The following is a 17075-nucleotide window of genomic DNA, read 5'->3' on the forward strand; positions in this document are numbered from 1 at the left end:
CCAAGTGAGTGACCCCAGCTGAGTTTCATGGAGCAGAATTATCCATCCGAGACCTGTCCGAATTCCTGACCCGCAGAATCATGAGAAATAATAAACCATTACTGTTTTCAACCATTCTGTTTCAGGGTGATTTGTTATGCAGCAATAGATAACCAAAATGAGGCTCCCCTTTAGCTTTAAAAGAATGTTCCATCTCATATCCATCTTCAAACATCCCCCACAGTTCTGCGGTCCTACATCCACCAACAGTTACTGCCCTCTTTGTATCACCACCGCAGTCCTCTACAATAGCACTTCACATGCCACTGGATAGTCACTTACGTACAGAACAACTTCCCCTTGTAGACGGAGTTGCTAGAGGGCTGTGACTGACTGCCGTATTTCTCTTAGTATCCCAACATCCAGCACGGTGCTCAGCACATGGCAGTGAGTGCTCCATCAATGTTGGCTGAGTCATGCAGACATGTGGGCATGGAACTACCACACAACTGGCCTGCCTGCAGGCATGCCTTCTGGCACTGGCAAACCCAAAACAAAGATGGAAGAATGAAAAACAGGACCCAGGCAAGCACACTTCCCAGAACCAGACAAGATGCAAAAGGTGCAGGAGAGAGATGAAGGGCAAGATCTGCTGGTGGGAGGCAGAAGTCACATGCGGAAAGCCACTGAGATTTGGAAACTTTCCACAGCACTGCTGGTTTACCCAGCCTGATAGGGTACACATTCTACAGGTATATCTTGTTTTCCTCTCGGGGAACTGAACACAATTGGAAGAGGGAGTAGAGGAACCTGAAGGCTGTCAATGAGTAAAGTCAATATAAACTACAACGAACAAAATAGAACAGTTGCAGGTTCAGGATTTCTGGGAAGTATTCAGAAGGTTAAACTTTATACCAGATCTAGGCAAGAACTCAAGGCATTAATACACTGTGTTTTATGAAGAACCAAAAAGGCTCAAGGGGCATATAAAACAAACGAAGTAGGACAGCCGGCTGTACCAGTTAGTTTTTGAACAAAGTACTCATTTTAAGGCATCGACTTCCTCCCACCAAAATTCCAAAGTAAATAAGAAATTGATTTTAAACCAGTGGTATACACTAACTTAATTAACGGAGGAGATGTATGACAACCACACACTTGGCTGTCAGAAACAAACAACAGAAAAACAGCATAGTCAACACAAAGCAAAAATGGTATCAAAACCACAAGGAAATGATCCAGGACGTGATAAAAGAGGAAATGCGGCAAGAAAATGTCACTCAGTATTAAGAAAAATATTATCCTCACTGGTGGAGAAAATGGAATATGGCTCATCATGGAATTTTAACTTTTTGAGTTTTTTTATTGTTAAAATGTTTAATTTGCCGAAATAAAGTAAAATGCACCACCACACAACACTGTAGGTTTTGAAAGCCTGCTTCATTCATTTCTCTTAACCTACGTTTGGTGAGCATCTTCTATGGGCTAGGCCAGGCTGTGACTTCACAGTCAGGGCTTCTAACAGGGACAGGGAGCTGGCCAGGGGCCACAGGTGGCTCTGACTGGGGCTCTGTCCACAGAGCTCACTCTGCCCTGCAAGCAAAGCCTGTGAGTGGGCACTTCAGTGGGAGAGACCACAGAGTCATTCTCTAACCCAGACCCAGAACAGAGGAGACCGTGGCTGGGGGTGCACATGCCCACCCCCAGGGTGGGAAAAACTCTTGCTAGCTGTGTGAGCAAGTCAATGAACTTCTCTAAGCTTTATTTTCCTCATCTGTAAAATGGGGATCCTTACAGTACCTACCTCATGCAATTGTTGCACGGATTAAACAAGAGACACTGTGCCGTCTCCTCACACAATGTTTGGCACACAGCATGCACTCTATAATTGTTGGGTATTATTATTATTCCCAGCTCAGCCCCTGAGACTGCTGCAGGAGAGGACCAGAGAAAGAAGTGCAAAGAGAACCTTATTCAAAGGCCCAAATGCCAATGAACAATCAGAGAAATGCACCTTTAATGGAGATATTTTTTACCTATGAGTTGGGCAAAGACAATAAAGACTGGTCACAGCCTGTATTATGGAGGAGAGAAGCAAGCTGGCACTCTGGTGCATTGCTAGAGAGAATGTGGATTGCTTCAGCCTTTCTAGAGAGCGATTTGGCAATATGCATCAAAATTTAATATGTGCATACTGCCTAGTCCAGCAAGTCTATTTCTGAGAATTTATCTTAAGAAAGTAATTGGAAAAGTGTGTAAAGATGTATACACAACGATGCTCATAGCAGTGTTTTTTTTCTTTGTTTTTTTTTCTTTTTTTTTTTGAGACAGGGTCTTGCTCTGTTGCCCAGGCTGAAGTGCCGTGGTGCGATCTCGGCTCACTGCAGCCTTAACCTCCTCTGCTCAAGCGATCCTCCCTCTTCAGCCTCCTTCAGCAGGCAGGAGCAGAGGAATTACGGAGGCGGTTGCTAATTTTTTACATCGGGGTTAGGGAAGGCCTCCCTGGTAACAGGAGATTTGAGCAGAGACCGGAAGGAAGGGGAGTCAACTGTGTCGATCGTATCTGAGATGAGAAAGTTCTAGGCAGAGGGAACAGCAAGTACAAATGATTGCAATGAATGTATATCATTTTTATAATCAGGAAAAAGCCAATAAAGATACTGTACTCTCAAACTACCAGTGCGTGCCACGATGCCTGACTAATTTTTGTATTTTTTGTAGAGATGGGGTTTTGCCATGTTGCCCAGGCTGGTCTTGAACTCCTGGGCTCAAGCAATCCGCCCACCTCAGCCTTCCACAGCGCTGAGATTACAGGCGTGAGCCACCACGCCCGGCAACGTTTTCTTATAACATTGAAAGCTGAAGACAATACAATTACCCATCAACAGAGAACCAGATAAATGAAGTGTGGAACATCCACAGCGTCGAATAAAATCATGGTGTGGATCTGTATTTCCTGACAACTAAAGATTCCGTGATAAAGTGTGAAGCGAAAAAAAGCAAGCTGCCAAACAACATGTAGAATATGATACCATTGCTTTCTGTGTATGCGCCTGTACATGTGAAAACAGTCTGAAAGGAGAGATACTAAAATGTCATAGCAGTTGTCTGACAGGTAGGATTTGGGGTGATTTTTGCTTTTTAATTTATACCTTCTTTGTACCACCTGACTTTATTCAATGTGCAAGAAATTTTACATCATCCTCTGATCAAAACCCTCTATGATCCTCCACCCCTAGCACCCACTTCCCTCCACACCTGAGTGCCTGCTGCCTCCAGCCTCCACCCTCTGCTTTAGGCGCACAGGCCTCCTGTGCCTCCCCCAACACCAGGCACACTCCTGCCTCAAGGCCTCTGCACTGGCCACATCATTTGCTGGGAACACTGTTCCCCCCAATACCTGCTTGTCTTGCCCCCTTGCCTCTTTCAAATGTTAGTTTATCACTGTTACGGGTTGAACTGTGTGCCCCCAAAATTCACATGTTGAAGTCCTAACCCTAGAACCTCAGGATGTGACCTTACGTGGAAACAGGGTCATCAAAGATGTAGTTAAAATAAGGTCATATCGAAGTAGGGTGGACCCCTATCCAATACCACGGTCCTTATGAAAAGAGGAAATTTGCACGCACACACACACACAGAGGGAACGCCATGTAAAGACTGGAGTCACACTGCCATGAGCCAGGAACCACCTGTATTAGTCAGGGTTCTCTAGAGGGACAGAACTAATAGGATAGCTATATATATATACACACAGAGGAGTTTATTAAGGAGTATTAAACTCACACAATCCCAAGGTTCCACAACAAGCCAACTACAAGCTGAGGAGTAAGGAAGCCAGTCCGAGTCCCAAATCTGAAGAACCTGAAGTTCGATGTTCAAGGGCAGGAAGCATCCAGCATGGGAGAAACACGTAGGCTGGGAGGCTAAGCCAGTCTAGTATTTTCATGTTCTTCTGCTTGCTTTTATCCTAGCCATGCTGGCAGCTGATTAGATTGTGCTCACCCAGATTAAGGGTGGGTCTGCTTTTCCCAGCCCACTGACTCAAATGTTAATCACCTTTGGCAACACCCTCACAGGCACACCCAGGATCAATACTTTGCATCCTTCAATCCAATCGAGTTGACACTCAATATTAACCTTGCACCACCAGAAGCTGGGAGATAGGCCTGGAATAGATCCTTCTCTAGCACCTTTGGAGGAAGCACAGTGCTGCTGACACCTTGATCTTGGACTCCAGAACTATGAGACAATAACCTTCTGTTGTGTAAGCCACTCAGTGTGTGGTACGTTATTACGGCAGCCTGAGCAAATGAATCCAGCCCCATTTTCAACGAGGCTCCCTAAACACCCAGATCAAAACTGCAACTCGTCAGTCCAAGCTGTTTATCTGCTGCATTTACACATGACACCTACCGCGGAGTAACACATGATATCATTAACTTTGTCCACTGATGTATCCCAAGGGCCCAGCACAGTGCCTGCACAGAGCAGGCAAAGATTTGTGGAATACATGGACAAATGACACTGAACTACACAAAGTCAGCCCTGGTGGGGACTACAGTCCAGTGGAGGAAGGCAGAATGCACAGACAAATATGTAGAAGACAATGATAAGTGTCATGAAGAAAAAAAGCAAGCAGGAGCAGAGGAATTACGGAGGCGGTTGCTAATTTTTCACATCGGGGTTAGGGAAGGCCTCCCTGATAACAGGAAATCTGAGCAGAGACCTGAAGGAAGGGGAGTCAACTGTGTTGATCATATCTGAGATGAGAAAGTTCTAGGCAGAGGGAACAGCAAGTACAAATGATTGCAATGAATGCATATCGTTTTTATAATCAGGAAAAAGCCAATAAAGATATTGTACTCTCAAAAGGCATTAAGATATTTAAAAGCCCAATTCTAGGGGCTAGGAAAACCACCTAATTTTTCAAATTCCTAAGACTCTCTTCAGGCCCAGGCTGAAAACTCCAACCCATTCCTGGAGCCGCCTTCCCCAGCCCAGTCTCCCAGCCCATCCTCCATTAAACAGCTGTCCAGGAGAAAAAAAAACACTCAATAGTGCAAGGATGCTGAGGTGAGGTAAGGTGAAGCAGCCCCAAGGTGGAGAGGCCCCAAGATCTGTGCTGGTGCTACAAGCCAAGGGCAACAATCCTGACCACTATCCTAGCCACCAGTGGCTGACTTGTCCCCCAATCCCCATCCAGATCTGGCCTGTGCTGGCCTGCACAGATGCCCCTCCATCCCAGCCTGTCATCTGCCTCCACTGCCAGTTCCCAAAGCGAGCACCTGTCACGTGCTCCTGCTCTGCACCAAGACCACTGAGGCTCCCAGCTCTGAGCAATGTCCACTCCTGCTTCCCTACCAGCTAGTTCCCACTCCACTAGGCATGGATGAAGCTGGAAGCCATTATCCTCAGCAAACTAATCCAAGAACAGAAAACCAAACACTGCATGTTCTCACTTATAAGTGGGAGCTAAACAATGAGATCACATGGACACAGGGAAGGGAACAACACACACCAGGCCCTCTCGGTAGGTGGGGTGGGAGGAGGGAGATTATTAGGAAAAAGAGCTAATGTATGCTGGGCTTAATACCCAGATGATGGGTTGACAGGTGTAGCAAATCACCATGGCACACATCTACCTATGTAACAAACCTGCACGTCCTGCACATGTATTCCAGAACTAAAAATAAAAATTAAAAAAATAACTGTGGTTAAAAACGTAACATAAAATTTACCCATCTTGTATTAATATTAAACAGAAATTTTTATTTAAAGGCAATTCATTGCAGCAGCGATATATATTTTTAAACGGAAACAAACTAGAGGTCAGATAGTCAACAGAGCTTTATTTTTCAATCCATCTAGTACATCCCAAGTATAAAAAGCTAAAAACCTTGTGCTCCAAGGCCAGGCGTGGTGGCTCACGCCTGTAATCCCAGCACTTTGGGAGGCCGAGGCGGGCAGATCATGAGGTCAGGAGATCGAGACCATCCTGGCTAACACGGTGAAACCCCGTCTCTACTAAAAATACAAAATAATAATAATAATAATTAGCCAGGCGTGGTGGCGGGCGCCTGTAGTCCCAGCTACTGGGGAGGCTGAGGCAGGAGAATGGCGTGAACCTGGGAGGCAGAGCTTGCAGTGAGCCAAGATCGCGCCACTGCACTCCAGCTTGGGCGACAGAGCCAGACTCCGTCTCAAAAAAAAAAAAAAAAAAAAACACCTTGTGCTCCAATAATATTTTCTTCTTAATATTTTCTTTAGCATCCTTTTTTTAACTTTATTTTAGGTTTGGGGTGTAAGTGCAGGTTTGTTACACAGGTAAACAGGTGTCACAGGAGTCTGTTGTACATATTATTTCATCACCCAGGTATTAAGCCCAGTACCCAATAGTTATCTTTTCTGCTCCTCTCCTTCCTCCCACCATCCAACTCAAGGAGGCTCCAGTGTCTGTTGACTCTTTGTGTTCATAAGTTACGATTTAGCTCCCCCAAATTGACCATCTCAACCATTTCTAAGTGTACAGTTCCACAGTGTTGAGTATATTCACATTGTCGTGCAACTGATAGTCTGAACTCCTTCATCTTGCAAAGCTGAAACTCTGTCCCCATTAAACAAAAACTTTCCATTCCCCCCTCCTCCCAGGCCCTTGCCATCCTTCTACTTCCTGTCTCCATGGCTTTGACTACTCTAGGGACCTCACGTAAGTGGAATCCTACAGTATTTGTCCTTTCATGACTGGCTCATCTCACTTGGCATAACGTCTTTGAGGTTCATCCATGTTGTAGCATGTGTCAGAATTTCCTTCCTTTTTAAGGCTGAACGATATTCCACTGAATGGCTAGACCACATTTGCAAAAATTTGTTTATTTTCAATTTTGTGCGTACATAGTTGGTACGTATATTTATGGGTTATATGAGTTTTGTTTTTTGTTTGTTTGTTTGTTTTTGAGATGGAGTCTTGCTCTGTCTCCCAGTCTGGAGTGCAGTGATGCGATCTCAGCTTACTGCAACCTCTGCTTCCCGGGATCAAGCAATTCTCCTGCCTCAGCCTCCCAAGTAGCTGGGATTACAGGCCTGCACCACCATGCCTGACTAATTTTTGTATTTTTAATAGGGACGGGGTTTCACTGTGTTGGCCAGGCTTGTCTGGAACTCCTGACCTCAGGTGATCTGACCACCTCAGCCTCCCAAAGGGCCGGCCACTGTGCCCAGCCCATGAGATGCTTTGATACAGGTACGTAATGCATAATAATCACATCAAGGTAAATGGTGCGTCCATCCCCTCAACCATTTATCCTTTGTGTTACAAACAATCCAATTATACTAGCTGTTTTTAAATGTGCAACTAAATTATTTTTGACTATAGTCACCCTGTTGTGCTAGCAAATACTAGGTCTTACTCATTCTTAACTCTTTTCCTTTTTTAAAAATTTTCCTTTCCTATATAAAAGCAACTTATTCATTCTATTTTTTTGTACCTATTAGCCATCCCCACTTCCTCCCAGACGACAGTTTGTTTATTCATTCATCTGTCCACAGACATGTGGGTTGCTTCTGCCTCCATCTCAGCTTCGACACCCTTTTGCTTCAACTATCTCCAAGTGCTTTTGTAATTCCTGGTAGTCAACCACCCTAACACCTGCTGACACCAGCTCAGGGAACTCAGGACTGGACTAAAGGCTTGTGACCGTGCTCAGGGCAGGGGCAGTTCTCTGAGCAGCGCAGCCAGCCAGGCACCAGCTCAGCTCCGAACCCGCTACTGCTCCTACCCTCAGTTTTGCCCGATGGCTTGAGATCTGGGCTGCATTTTTATGCGCTATGGACTCTCCACTAATTAGATAACCAACAATCTTTGAAGTACACCCAACTTCAATGAGAAACTGCACAGTTCTGAGCCTCTCAAGCTTTGGTGTGCACACAAGTCACCTGGAGGTGCTTTCAAAAAGTCGATGCAGTAGGCCCGGGGTGGGGTCCGACCTTCTGCATTGCTGACAAGCTCCCAGGCGATGCTGATGCTGCTGATCCGGGGACCACACTTGGAGCAGCAAGGACCTGGCAACCTCCCACCTGCTCAGACCTGTCTCCTGGGCTTTGCCCAAGTTCCCCTGGAAGCTGGCTCCATAAGATCATCTGTTTTGTATGTCTGAGGCTTCCCCCTTTGAAAGCTCCCCAACAGTATTTACCCAGTGTTTCAAAGCAGCTCTTCAGACTGTCCGGCTCCACAATTAATCCTAGCACCCAACACAGTAAGTGATGAAGGGTTCCTTCCTCAGGCCCAAACAGAGAACAAAGAAGAAAGAAGTGACAGGAGAGTTTCCAAGAGACTCCAAAGGACTGGGAAGCACCAGGAAACCACTAGGAGTGAGGAGCCCTCCCAGCTGCCCTGCCCTCGACACAACACCCCAGGACCGCTGTGGCCTATCTTCCGCCAAGGCTCTGGGCCACCCAGGCTGCTGGAGGGACAAGCAGAGTGTCTGCCTGGACTGCGACCAAGACTGGCCTTCCAACTTCAACTGGGCCCTTGCCACTGCCTGGCAATTCTTTCACTCATCCCTTCTCACTCTCCTCTGGAAGCCAGTTGTGTTTGCTCAAGCTCCTGATCCCCCCACGCTGCTGTCCTCTCTCCAGATCTGCTCGCCTCCCACCCTCCACCAATAGACCCATACTCCCCCATACATCTCTGTCCCCAGACAAGCCACCTGTTTCTCCTTCTGTTTTCCTCCTCTCTCAAATGAATGCCTCCACTCTTGCCCTAGATCCCATCCCTTCCAAGCCCCCAGGAGCTTTCACTCCTGCCCTCTCTGCCTCCCTTTCCAACCCCACCCCAGACTGGCTTCTTCCTAGCCCTCACCTGCACAGATGGCCTCCACCTTACCACTCCCTCTTCCTACGTTATTTCACTCCTTGCACACACACAGCACCCTTCATGCCGCAGAAGCTGGCCCTCTGAGGGGCTGGGTCCTACCCAGTCAGCGGCTGTCACAACAAAACCCACCCCCTAGGGTTGAGAAACCGTCTTACAGCTGGACCTCAACCTCGAGAGGGCAAAACTCAGCCTCCAAATCACATCACTTCCCTTCTCTTGCTGGAAAGATCTTCTCGGTCCCTTTCAGTACCAATATGTGGAATATTCTGCACCTTCCATGCCCATTTTCCCACATCCTAGACACCCAACTCCTGCCCTGTACACCTGCTATCTGAGCACACAGGCTTTGACTCAGACGTGGAGCGTAATGAAAACCATGGGGGCCACTGCAGACAGTCAAGCAAGGAGGAAGGGACGTGACCTGTTCCTAGCAGGCCCTTCCTGCTGAAGGTGGAGGATGAACTGGAGGAAGTGAGAGGAGAAGTAGAGGTCGTGACAGTCACCTGGAGAAAAGAGGATGGGAGCTTGAATGAGGGCAGTGGTGGCAGCGATGGTACAGCAGAAACATTCAAGACGGACTTCCTCCCCTCCCATTCACAGTCCTCTGGGAACTTTCTTTCACTCACTGAGGGGCTGGTGCCTGGCTCACAGTCCTTTCTTCCTCTCTCCAGGCAAGTTCAACATCCACAGAAGTTATTCACCCCAAAGCCTTCCTCCATGTTCCACTTCAACAACTCATTCCCACCACTACACCCTACCCTGTTCATTACCCAAGACCAAAACTAGAGATGACCCACTTCTGAAACTCGGCACAATGACACCCCAATCCCTCCCGCCCTCCCCCACCTCTCTCTCAACACCTGCCCTGGGATCTCAGCTGCACCCCCTCCTCCCAGTCCCTTTCCCACTGCTCCAGCCACGGTTCACCTCCTACCTCATCCAGACCACCTCTTGCCAGCTCCTTCAATCCCCTTTGGCTCTTCACACCTGCCCTGTGATTCCCCATCCCTGACTCGGGCCAATGGCTCACCTTTCCCAGACACACTGGAACGTCAAGTGCTAGAGGACAAAAATCACACGGTGGGTTCCCTAACATCACCACAGATACCCCCATTACCTTGGACTTCACTCCCAACCTTCCACCAGTCCCTCCGATTCCTTCTCCCAACATTACTTCTTCCTAACTCTTCTTAGGGTGGTCCTGCCTGCCCAGGTGAACCTCCTCACTTTTGGTAAATTAGCCATGAGGTCCTTCCTTCTACTTCCTTAAATTGTCAACCACTGCTTTTGTTTTGTTTTGTTTTGTTTTTGAGATAGAGTGTCGCTCTGTCACCCAGGCTGGAGTAAAGTGGCACAATCTCAGCTCACTGTAACATCCGCCTCCCAGATTCAAGTGATTCTCATGCCTCAGCCCCCCGAATAGCTAGGATTGCAGGCACCCGCCACCACACCTGGCTAATTTTTGTATTTTTAGTAATGGCGGGTTTTCACCATGTTGGCCAGGCTGGTCTCAAACTCCTAACCTCAAGTGAACTGCCTGCCTGGGCCTCCCAAAGTGCTGGGATTACAGGCATGAGCCACCGCGCCCAGCCCAGTCACTGTATTTTTACTGACTCTTGAAGCCTACAAACACAATCAAGTCTAAAACATGTTTTTAAAACTTCCACCAACCCTCCTGCCACCATTAAGTTATAGGGAATAACTCAAACCTCACCAGGCCTAAGAATAACATAAAGAGCTTGTGGAACATTTCAAAAATACAAATCCTCAGGCATCACCTGTTTCAGTAGAGCTGGCTTGACCATGAGTTGGGTTTTTAACAGGTGATTCTGATCAGTTGGCCCTCATCCCATCCTTCAAGAAACAGTTTGGTACAGTAGCATTTGACATGATGGATCACTCACCTAGAGGAAAACTCTCTCCTCCTCTCCTGGCTCTCATATCACTATTTTGTCATGATGGTCAGTTCCTCTGTATGCTCCTCTTTGTCTTCCCCTCTCCTTCACGCTAGTTTCAGGGTTTCTGTCCTCAGCTGCCTTGTCTACTAACTCTCCATGCTCCCCCCTCACTAGTGTCTTCCATATCTATGACTTCAACTACCATCAAGTACAACATTTAACAAGCTTTTTTTTTGTTTTAAGTTCTTGCTCTATCACCCAGGCTGGAGTGCAGTGGCACAATCCCAGCCCACTGCAGCCTCAACCTGCTGGGCTCAAGCAATCCTCCTGCCTCAGCCTCCCGAATAGCTGAGACTACAGGTGCATGCCACCATGCCCAACTAATTTTTGTACTTTTGTAGAAACAAGGTCTCACTATGTTACCCAGGCTGGTCTTAAACTCCTGAGCTCAAGCAATCCTCCCGCCTTGGGCTTCCAAAGTGCTAGGAACACAGGCGTGAGCCACCGCACCCAGCCTAACTTTTTTTCTAAGTACTGGATCTGGGATAGATTAAAAATCAATGAATGAATGTACAGGTGATAGTCAACACAGTTAACAGCAGTGGAGCACGAGCACTGACAGTCGGAAAGGGAGCTATTCTAATTTTACAGGTAAAGGATCTGAACAGACATTTCTCAAAAGAGACACACAAATGGTCAACAGGTAAAGAAAAATTGCTCAGCATCCCTAATCATTAGGGAAATGCAAATTAAAACCACAATGAGATAGCACCTCAAACCTGCCAGAATGGTCTTCAGCCAAAAAACTAAAGCAGAGTCCTTGAGGCACCTGCTGTGCTGAGCATTAACCCTTCAGTCACTGGATCTCGGTGAGGTGGAGGGTGGCGGTGGTCCTTGGGAGAAGAGTCCTGAAAGAGGGCAGGGAGGCTCAGGGTACTTGGGGGTGGGGAGCAAGGAATATTCAGTACAGCAGCTATTTACCAACTGCTATGGTAGTATCTCAGTGGTTTGGTTTTGTTTTTTGAGACAGAGTCTCATTTTGTTGCCCAGACTGCAGTGCAGTGGCGCGATCTCAGCTCACCGCAACCTTTGCCTCCCGGGTTCAAGCCTCAGCCTCCTGAGTAGCTGGGATTACAGGCACCCACTACCATGCCTGGCTATTTTTTTGTGTTTTTAGTAGAGACGAGGTTTCACTATGTTGGCCAGGCTGGTCTCGAACTCCTGGCCTCAGGTGACCCACCTGCCTCAGCCTCCCAAAGTGCTGGGATTATAAGCGTGAGCCACCACATCCAGACTGTATCTCAGTGTTTTTACAACCAGTCAAATGCTCGCAATGAATGAAAACAGCAGGTCTAGGGGACAATTCTAATCTAGTTGCCTGGTCAAATAAAATATGGTTCTTGCACACTATTTACACAGACTCAGTCCCAAAAGCAGGTGTCTCTCAAGGTCTCTGGAGATTTACATAGCTCCAGAGTTAGTCCAGGCTGACTTAGCCTTCAATGTTCCAACAATACCTATTCCCAGAAGGCTAGAACAGAAGGCACTTTACCTCTTAGCCCAGTGCTTCCCAAACCTCAATTGTGCATGCAAAATCACCAGGGGGATCTTGTCAAATGCAGATTCTGATTCAGAAGGTCGGGGGTGGGCCCTGAGATTCTGCATTTTCTAACAAGCTACGAGGCAGTGGAGGCAGTGATGATGCGAGCTAAGAGGCAGTGATGATGCTCAGAGTGTGGGGACCACAAGATTAGAATTTCACTAATGAGAAGTAATTGCCTGAAGCTAACAAAGGAGATGGAAAAAAGAAAGAGACAAAGAGAAAGAATAAGAGAAAGCAAAGTATGGGTCTTGAGTGTGTGGATGCAAGAGGGAAGAATAAAGGGAGTTTTTAAAAAGAAGAGCCATCTGCAATGGTGAGAGTGAGCTGCCTTCAGCAGGTCATGGGCCTAGAACATCTACCAGGCAAGGAGAAATGACAAAACAACCTAACAGAAAAAGGACAGATGCTGCTTATAAGTGCATTCCAAGACATCCAAGATGTTGACTTGATATGTAGGAGCTACAGGGAGAAATGAGCTACAAGGAGCTAGAGGGTTAATGAGATTAGCGCTAATCTCATTAACCCTTTCTTACACCGAGGAGGAAACCCAGGACAAGGTAACTTGTCCATAGTCACAAAGTTACAGGCAGATTTGCATTTGCACACACCCAGGTTTTTTAACTCACCTTTTAACAAATCCTGCTGCCTAACAACAAGAAAAAGAAATCACATCATTGTGAGCTCCAGATGAAAGGTGGGTGGTCACAACTTGAAAACAAATTAGATCAGTTAGAACAGTGTCTTCCTATCTGGGAAAATCAACCTAGTGTAATTATAATGACGGTAATTAGCTGCCTCTATCATTCAGGGCACTGATAGAAAACCTGTGGCTCCCACGTCCCTAGTGACTTGTAACAACTCCCTGGCTGGGTTCTGTTTTCAGAATTAAGTGAGGCACTTCCTGACAAGCACTGCAGCAGCTGTTCCCAAACGGGCAGGAGTGAGCATTGAAAATGCAGTCCTCTGCACCCTTTCACTCCCAACCCAAACAAAACCAAGCAAAAACATGTAACAAAAAATGCTTATTTTATTTTACCTTATCTTATTTTATCTTATTTTATTTTGAGATGGAGTCTTGCTCTGTCACCCAGGCTGGAGTGCAGTGGCGCGATCTCATTTCATTGCAACCTCTGCCTCCCGGGTTCAAGCAATTCTCCTGCCTCACCCTCCCAAGTAGCTGGGATTACAGGCACCTGCCACCACACCCGGCTAATTTCTGTATTTTTAGTAGAGACCGGGTTTCACCATGTTGGCCAGGCTGGTCTCCAACTCCTGACCTCAGGTGATCCCAAAGTGTTGGGATTACAGGCGTGAGTCACCGCGCCCGGCCTCAACATAACGATTTTAAATTAGCTGTTCTAACAGTGAAAAGACAACTGCAAGATACCAATGGTATACAGTAGTCCCCCTCCTCCAAGGTTTCGGATACCGGAGGACAACTGCAGTTTGAAGATATTTTGAGATATTCTGAGGTATTTTGAGATACAGCATATTCACGTTTTATTACAGTAGACTGTTAGAACTGTTCTGTTTTGTTATTATTGTTAATCTCTTACTGTGCCTCATTTTTTAATTAAACTTTATTGCAGGTATGTACATATAGGAAAAAACCATGGTATATACAGACTTCAGTACTACCCAAAGTTTCAGGCATCCACTGGGGGTCTTGGACCACATCCCTTGCAGATAAGGAGGGACTACTATATCTTCAAAATACTGTTAATTTTCAGTTACTGGGTTTACCATATCCGGATCAGTGGTTCCAATGCTCAGGGGCTAAAACGGAGCTGTCAACTTGTTAAAATGAAGATTCCCAGGCACTGCCACCAAAGAGTCTAATTTAGAGGCTAAGGGTGAGTCGTAGACATCTAAATTCTTAACAAGCACCCCCACATCCCCAAATGATGTTGATGCAGGAGGCCTAGGGGCCACACTTTTGAAACATTTAAGTATTTGTTTATAATATCCTAAACGACTCACAAAGCATAAATATTCACCTAGAAATGGCCAATAATAAAACAGCACATTAAGAAAAAAATTTCACACACCATAAGCATAAATGCAATAAAAAAATTATTAAAAGAACAAATGGCAGATCTTGCTAATCAAAACAACCAAAAACTTCTACATTTCAAAATTATGTAAAATTTAAAAGAAATTCCTTTGGAAGGGGAAAACGCAACATATAGAAGGAAAAATGGTTGCTATCCTTCTAATACATAAAGATTTAAATACATATCTATGCCACAACAGGTAAATAAATAAAAATACAGAGAAAATTCACAGAATACAAATACAAAATAAAAAATATTCAATTCTAAAGCAATAAAACCGTGCAGGTTAAAACAATGTATTACAAATTTATTTAACAAGGGCTTTTAAAGTAACATTCAATGCCAGTGATGAAGTGAATACTCAATGCAAGTGATAATGGAAGGCCCCTGCGTAAGCTTCAAGGGCTTATGTCAGCATTATAACTTTCAAAAATTGCTTCATTCAAAAATCACATACTGAGTACCTACTAGGGGCCCAGCATTTTGAACAAAAGATGCAGAAATCCAGCCTGGTGGGCCTTACATTTTAATCACACTCTAATACCCCTTCCACAAATGTATACTCAAGAAAACACACACACACACACACACACACACACACGGAAAGAAACATGCACAAAGCCTTTTTTTTTTGAGACGGAGTCTTGCTCTGTCGTCCAGGCTGGAGTACAATGGCGCCATCTCGGCTCACTGCAACCTCTGCCTCCCTGGTTCGAGCAATTCTCCTGCCTCAGCCTCCCAAGTAGCTGGGATTACAGGCACATGCCACCACACCCAGCTAATCTCTGTATTTTTAGTAGAGACGGGGTTTCACCATGTTGGCCAGGATGGTCTCAAACTCCTGACCTCAGGTGATCCGCCCACCTCGGCTTCCCAAAGTGCTGGGATTACAGGCGTGAGCCAGCGCGCATGGCCAGCAGAGCCTTCTCTATGTAGCTATTCATCAGCATTACTTACAGCAACCCAAAAAATGGAAATAAAAGAATAAATCATTAGGATAGAAAATAGTTTTCAAATAAGACTTAATGAATGGAAAAATGCTTAAGTTAAATGTAGAGTGGAAATGGTAGTAAATACAATTGTGCATATAATTCTTTTTTTAATGTTAACAACAAAAAAACGATAAAATTACTTAGTGTTACCTACAGGCTGTGAGATTATGGGTGACTGGTTTCTGTACCTTTCAGTAATTTCCAAATTCCCTACAAAGCAATCTATTTCATAATAACTATTACTTTTTAAAAACTTATCTCTGAATAAGGTGAAGAAACTGGGCATGATTCTTTGTTTTTATACTGTGGATGGCTAATCACTTAAGAGCAATGCATTCAAAAGTAAGTCCAAAGCATTACAAGTTGTTTCCACAACAGTCAATGGTTAAGACCAAACTTGTAAATTTTTTTTTTAAAAAAACACACTCAAAATGCTGAATGAAATACAAATAGACAAGAAATCGATTTAACATAGAGATTTAACCAAAGACTGTAATAAGGGGACCACCTGGAAGGTGGACTCTATTGAACAAAAGTTAACAAGAGAAGCCAGCTGAAGGAGGAGATAGCTTTCAGACAGCCACGGAAGGGAATGCTGCCTCACATAGGAAGTCCAAAACAGGTCTAAGCCATGCCATTTTCTGACTACCACTGCTTATTCCTTAGAAAGAGAACCAACCACCACAGCAGTGTTCAGCAAAGCTCTCCTACATTCCAAATCTCCTGGTGAAAATACCACACTCAGGACTGGGAGGGCAGCCCAAGCAACTGCAACGCACCCTCTTCCCAGGATCAACAGCACCGCCCAGGCACCCTACACACACCCTAGCTACATCAGGAAGCCACCCTCCACCAAGATCGTTCCTCACAGTCTTCAAGTAGATGGGGTCACCTCCAGCAGGTCATCCATAAGGAATCCTGCCTTTCCTGTCCGGGAATGGTCTGTGCAAGGGTTTGTACTTCCTTCACTGCTCTGTGTTTCCAGCTGGATCCTGGAGCACAGGGGCTGTGCCCTCCACTTCTTAGTTCCTAGTCTATGAGCCTGGCAGCGGCTGAAGCCAATATACAAACCAGTGAAAGGATGAAGTCTCTTTCCATGATGTCAGGTCTAGAATGGAAATATTATTAATTTCATGTCTCCAGGTTGAATATTTGTATTGGGGGTAGAGGGGAAGCAGGAAAGGACTTCCAAAGAAGAGAAGGTTAGGGATGGGCAGTGCAAACAGCTTCACTATTTATTTTAAAGTTACCAGAAGCACTTATATTCTCCACAACCTCTGCAGTACACCCAGATGGCCACATTCATATGGGGAAGCCATCAGGCACAGAAAGGAAGCATGTCATAGAGTCTGAAGCCAAACCAACCTAAACTCAAAGCCTTAGTTTCCTCATCTGTAAAATGGGGATAACTATGCCTAACTCACAACGTGATTGGATCGTGTATATAAAATTCAACATCTGGCACACAAAAAGCACTCAGGAGATGGAAACCATTTATCTGCTGTGTCTTATGACAGATGAATCCACGAGTATCAGATGGGCTCTCTTTGTTGACTAAAGCCAAGAGACCCTTGACAATGATCTCTTCTCCTCTGGACACACAGGGCTGGAACTCGCAGGAGCAGGACTGAGACGGGAGGTCCTAGGTTAGAGTAAGGTGTTTGCACTAGCTGT

The 17075-nt window shown here is 45.7% G+C and overlaps 1 protein-coding gene across 2 annotated transcripts in view, besides 2 other annotated features; it reads right to left on the minus strand.

Moving 5' to 3' along the window:
* The window catches only part of KIAA1549, a 150009-nt gene that overhangs the window by 131295 nt on the left and 1639 nt on the right, over positions 1-17075 (minus strand). The gene's annotated exons all lie outside the window — the stretch shown is intronic.
* Positions 11391-11891: an enhancer, noted in NCBI's record as "H3K4me1 hESC enhancer chr7:138658812-138659312 (GRCh37/hg19 assembly coordinates)". NCBI's record gives its function as "activates a minimal SCP1, AML or CMV promoter by ChIP-STARR-seq in naive H9 embryonic stem cells {active_cell/tissue: H9 hESC(naive)}" and the evidence as "EXISTENCE:reporter gene assay evidence [ECO:0000049][PMID:30033119]".
* Positions 11892-12392: an enhancer, noted in NCBI's record as "H3K4me1 hESC enhancer chr7:138659313-138659813 (GRCh37/hg19 assembly coordinates)". NCBI's record gives its function as "activates a minimal SCP1, AML or CMV promoter by ChIP-STARR-seq in naive and primed H9 embryonic stem cells {active_cell/tissue: H9 hESC(naive and primed)}" and the evidence as "EXISTENCE:reporter gene assay evidence [ECO:0000049][PMID:30033119]".

Source organism: Homo sapiens, chromosome 7 (genome assembly GCF_000001405.40).
Source record: "Homo sapiens chromosome 7, GRCh38.p14 Primary Assembly".
NCBI classification, from domain to species: Eukaryota; Metazoa; Chordata; class Mammalia; order Primates; family Hominidae; genus Homo; species Homo sapiens.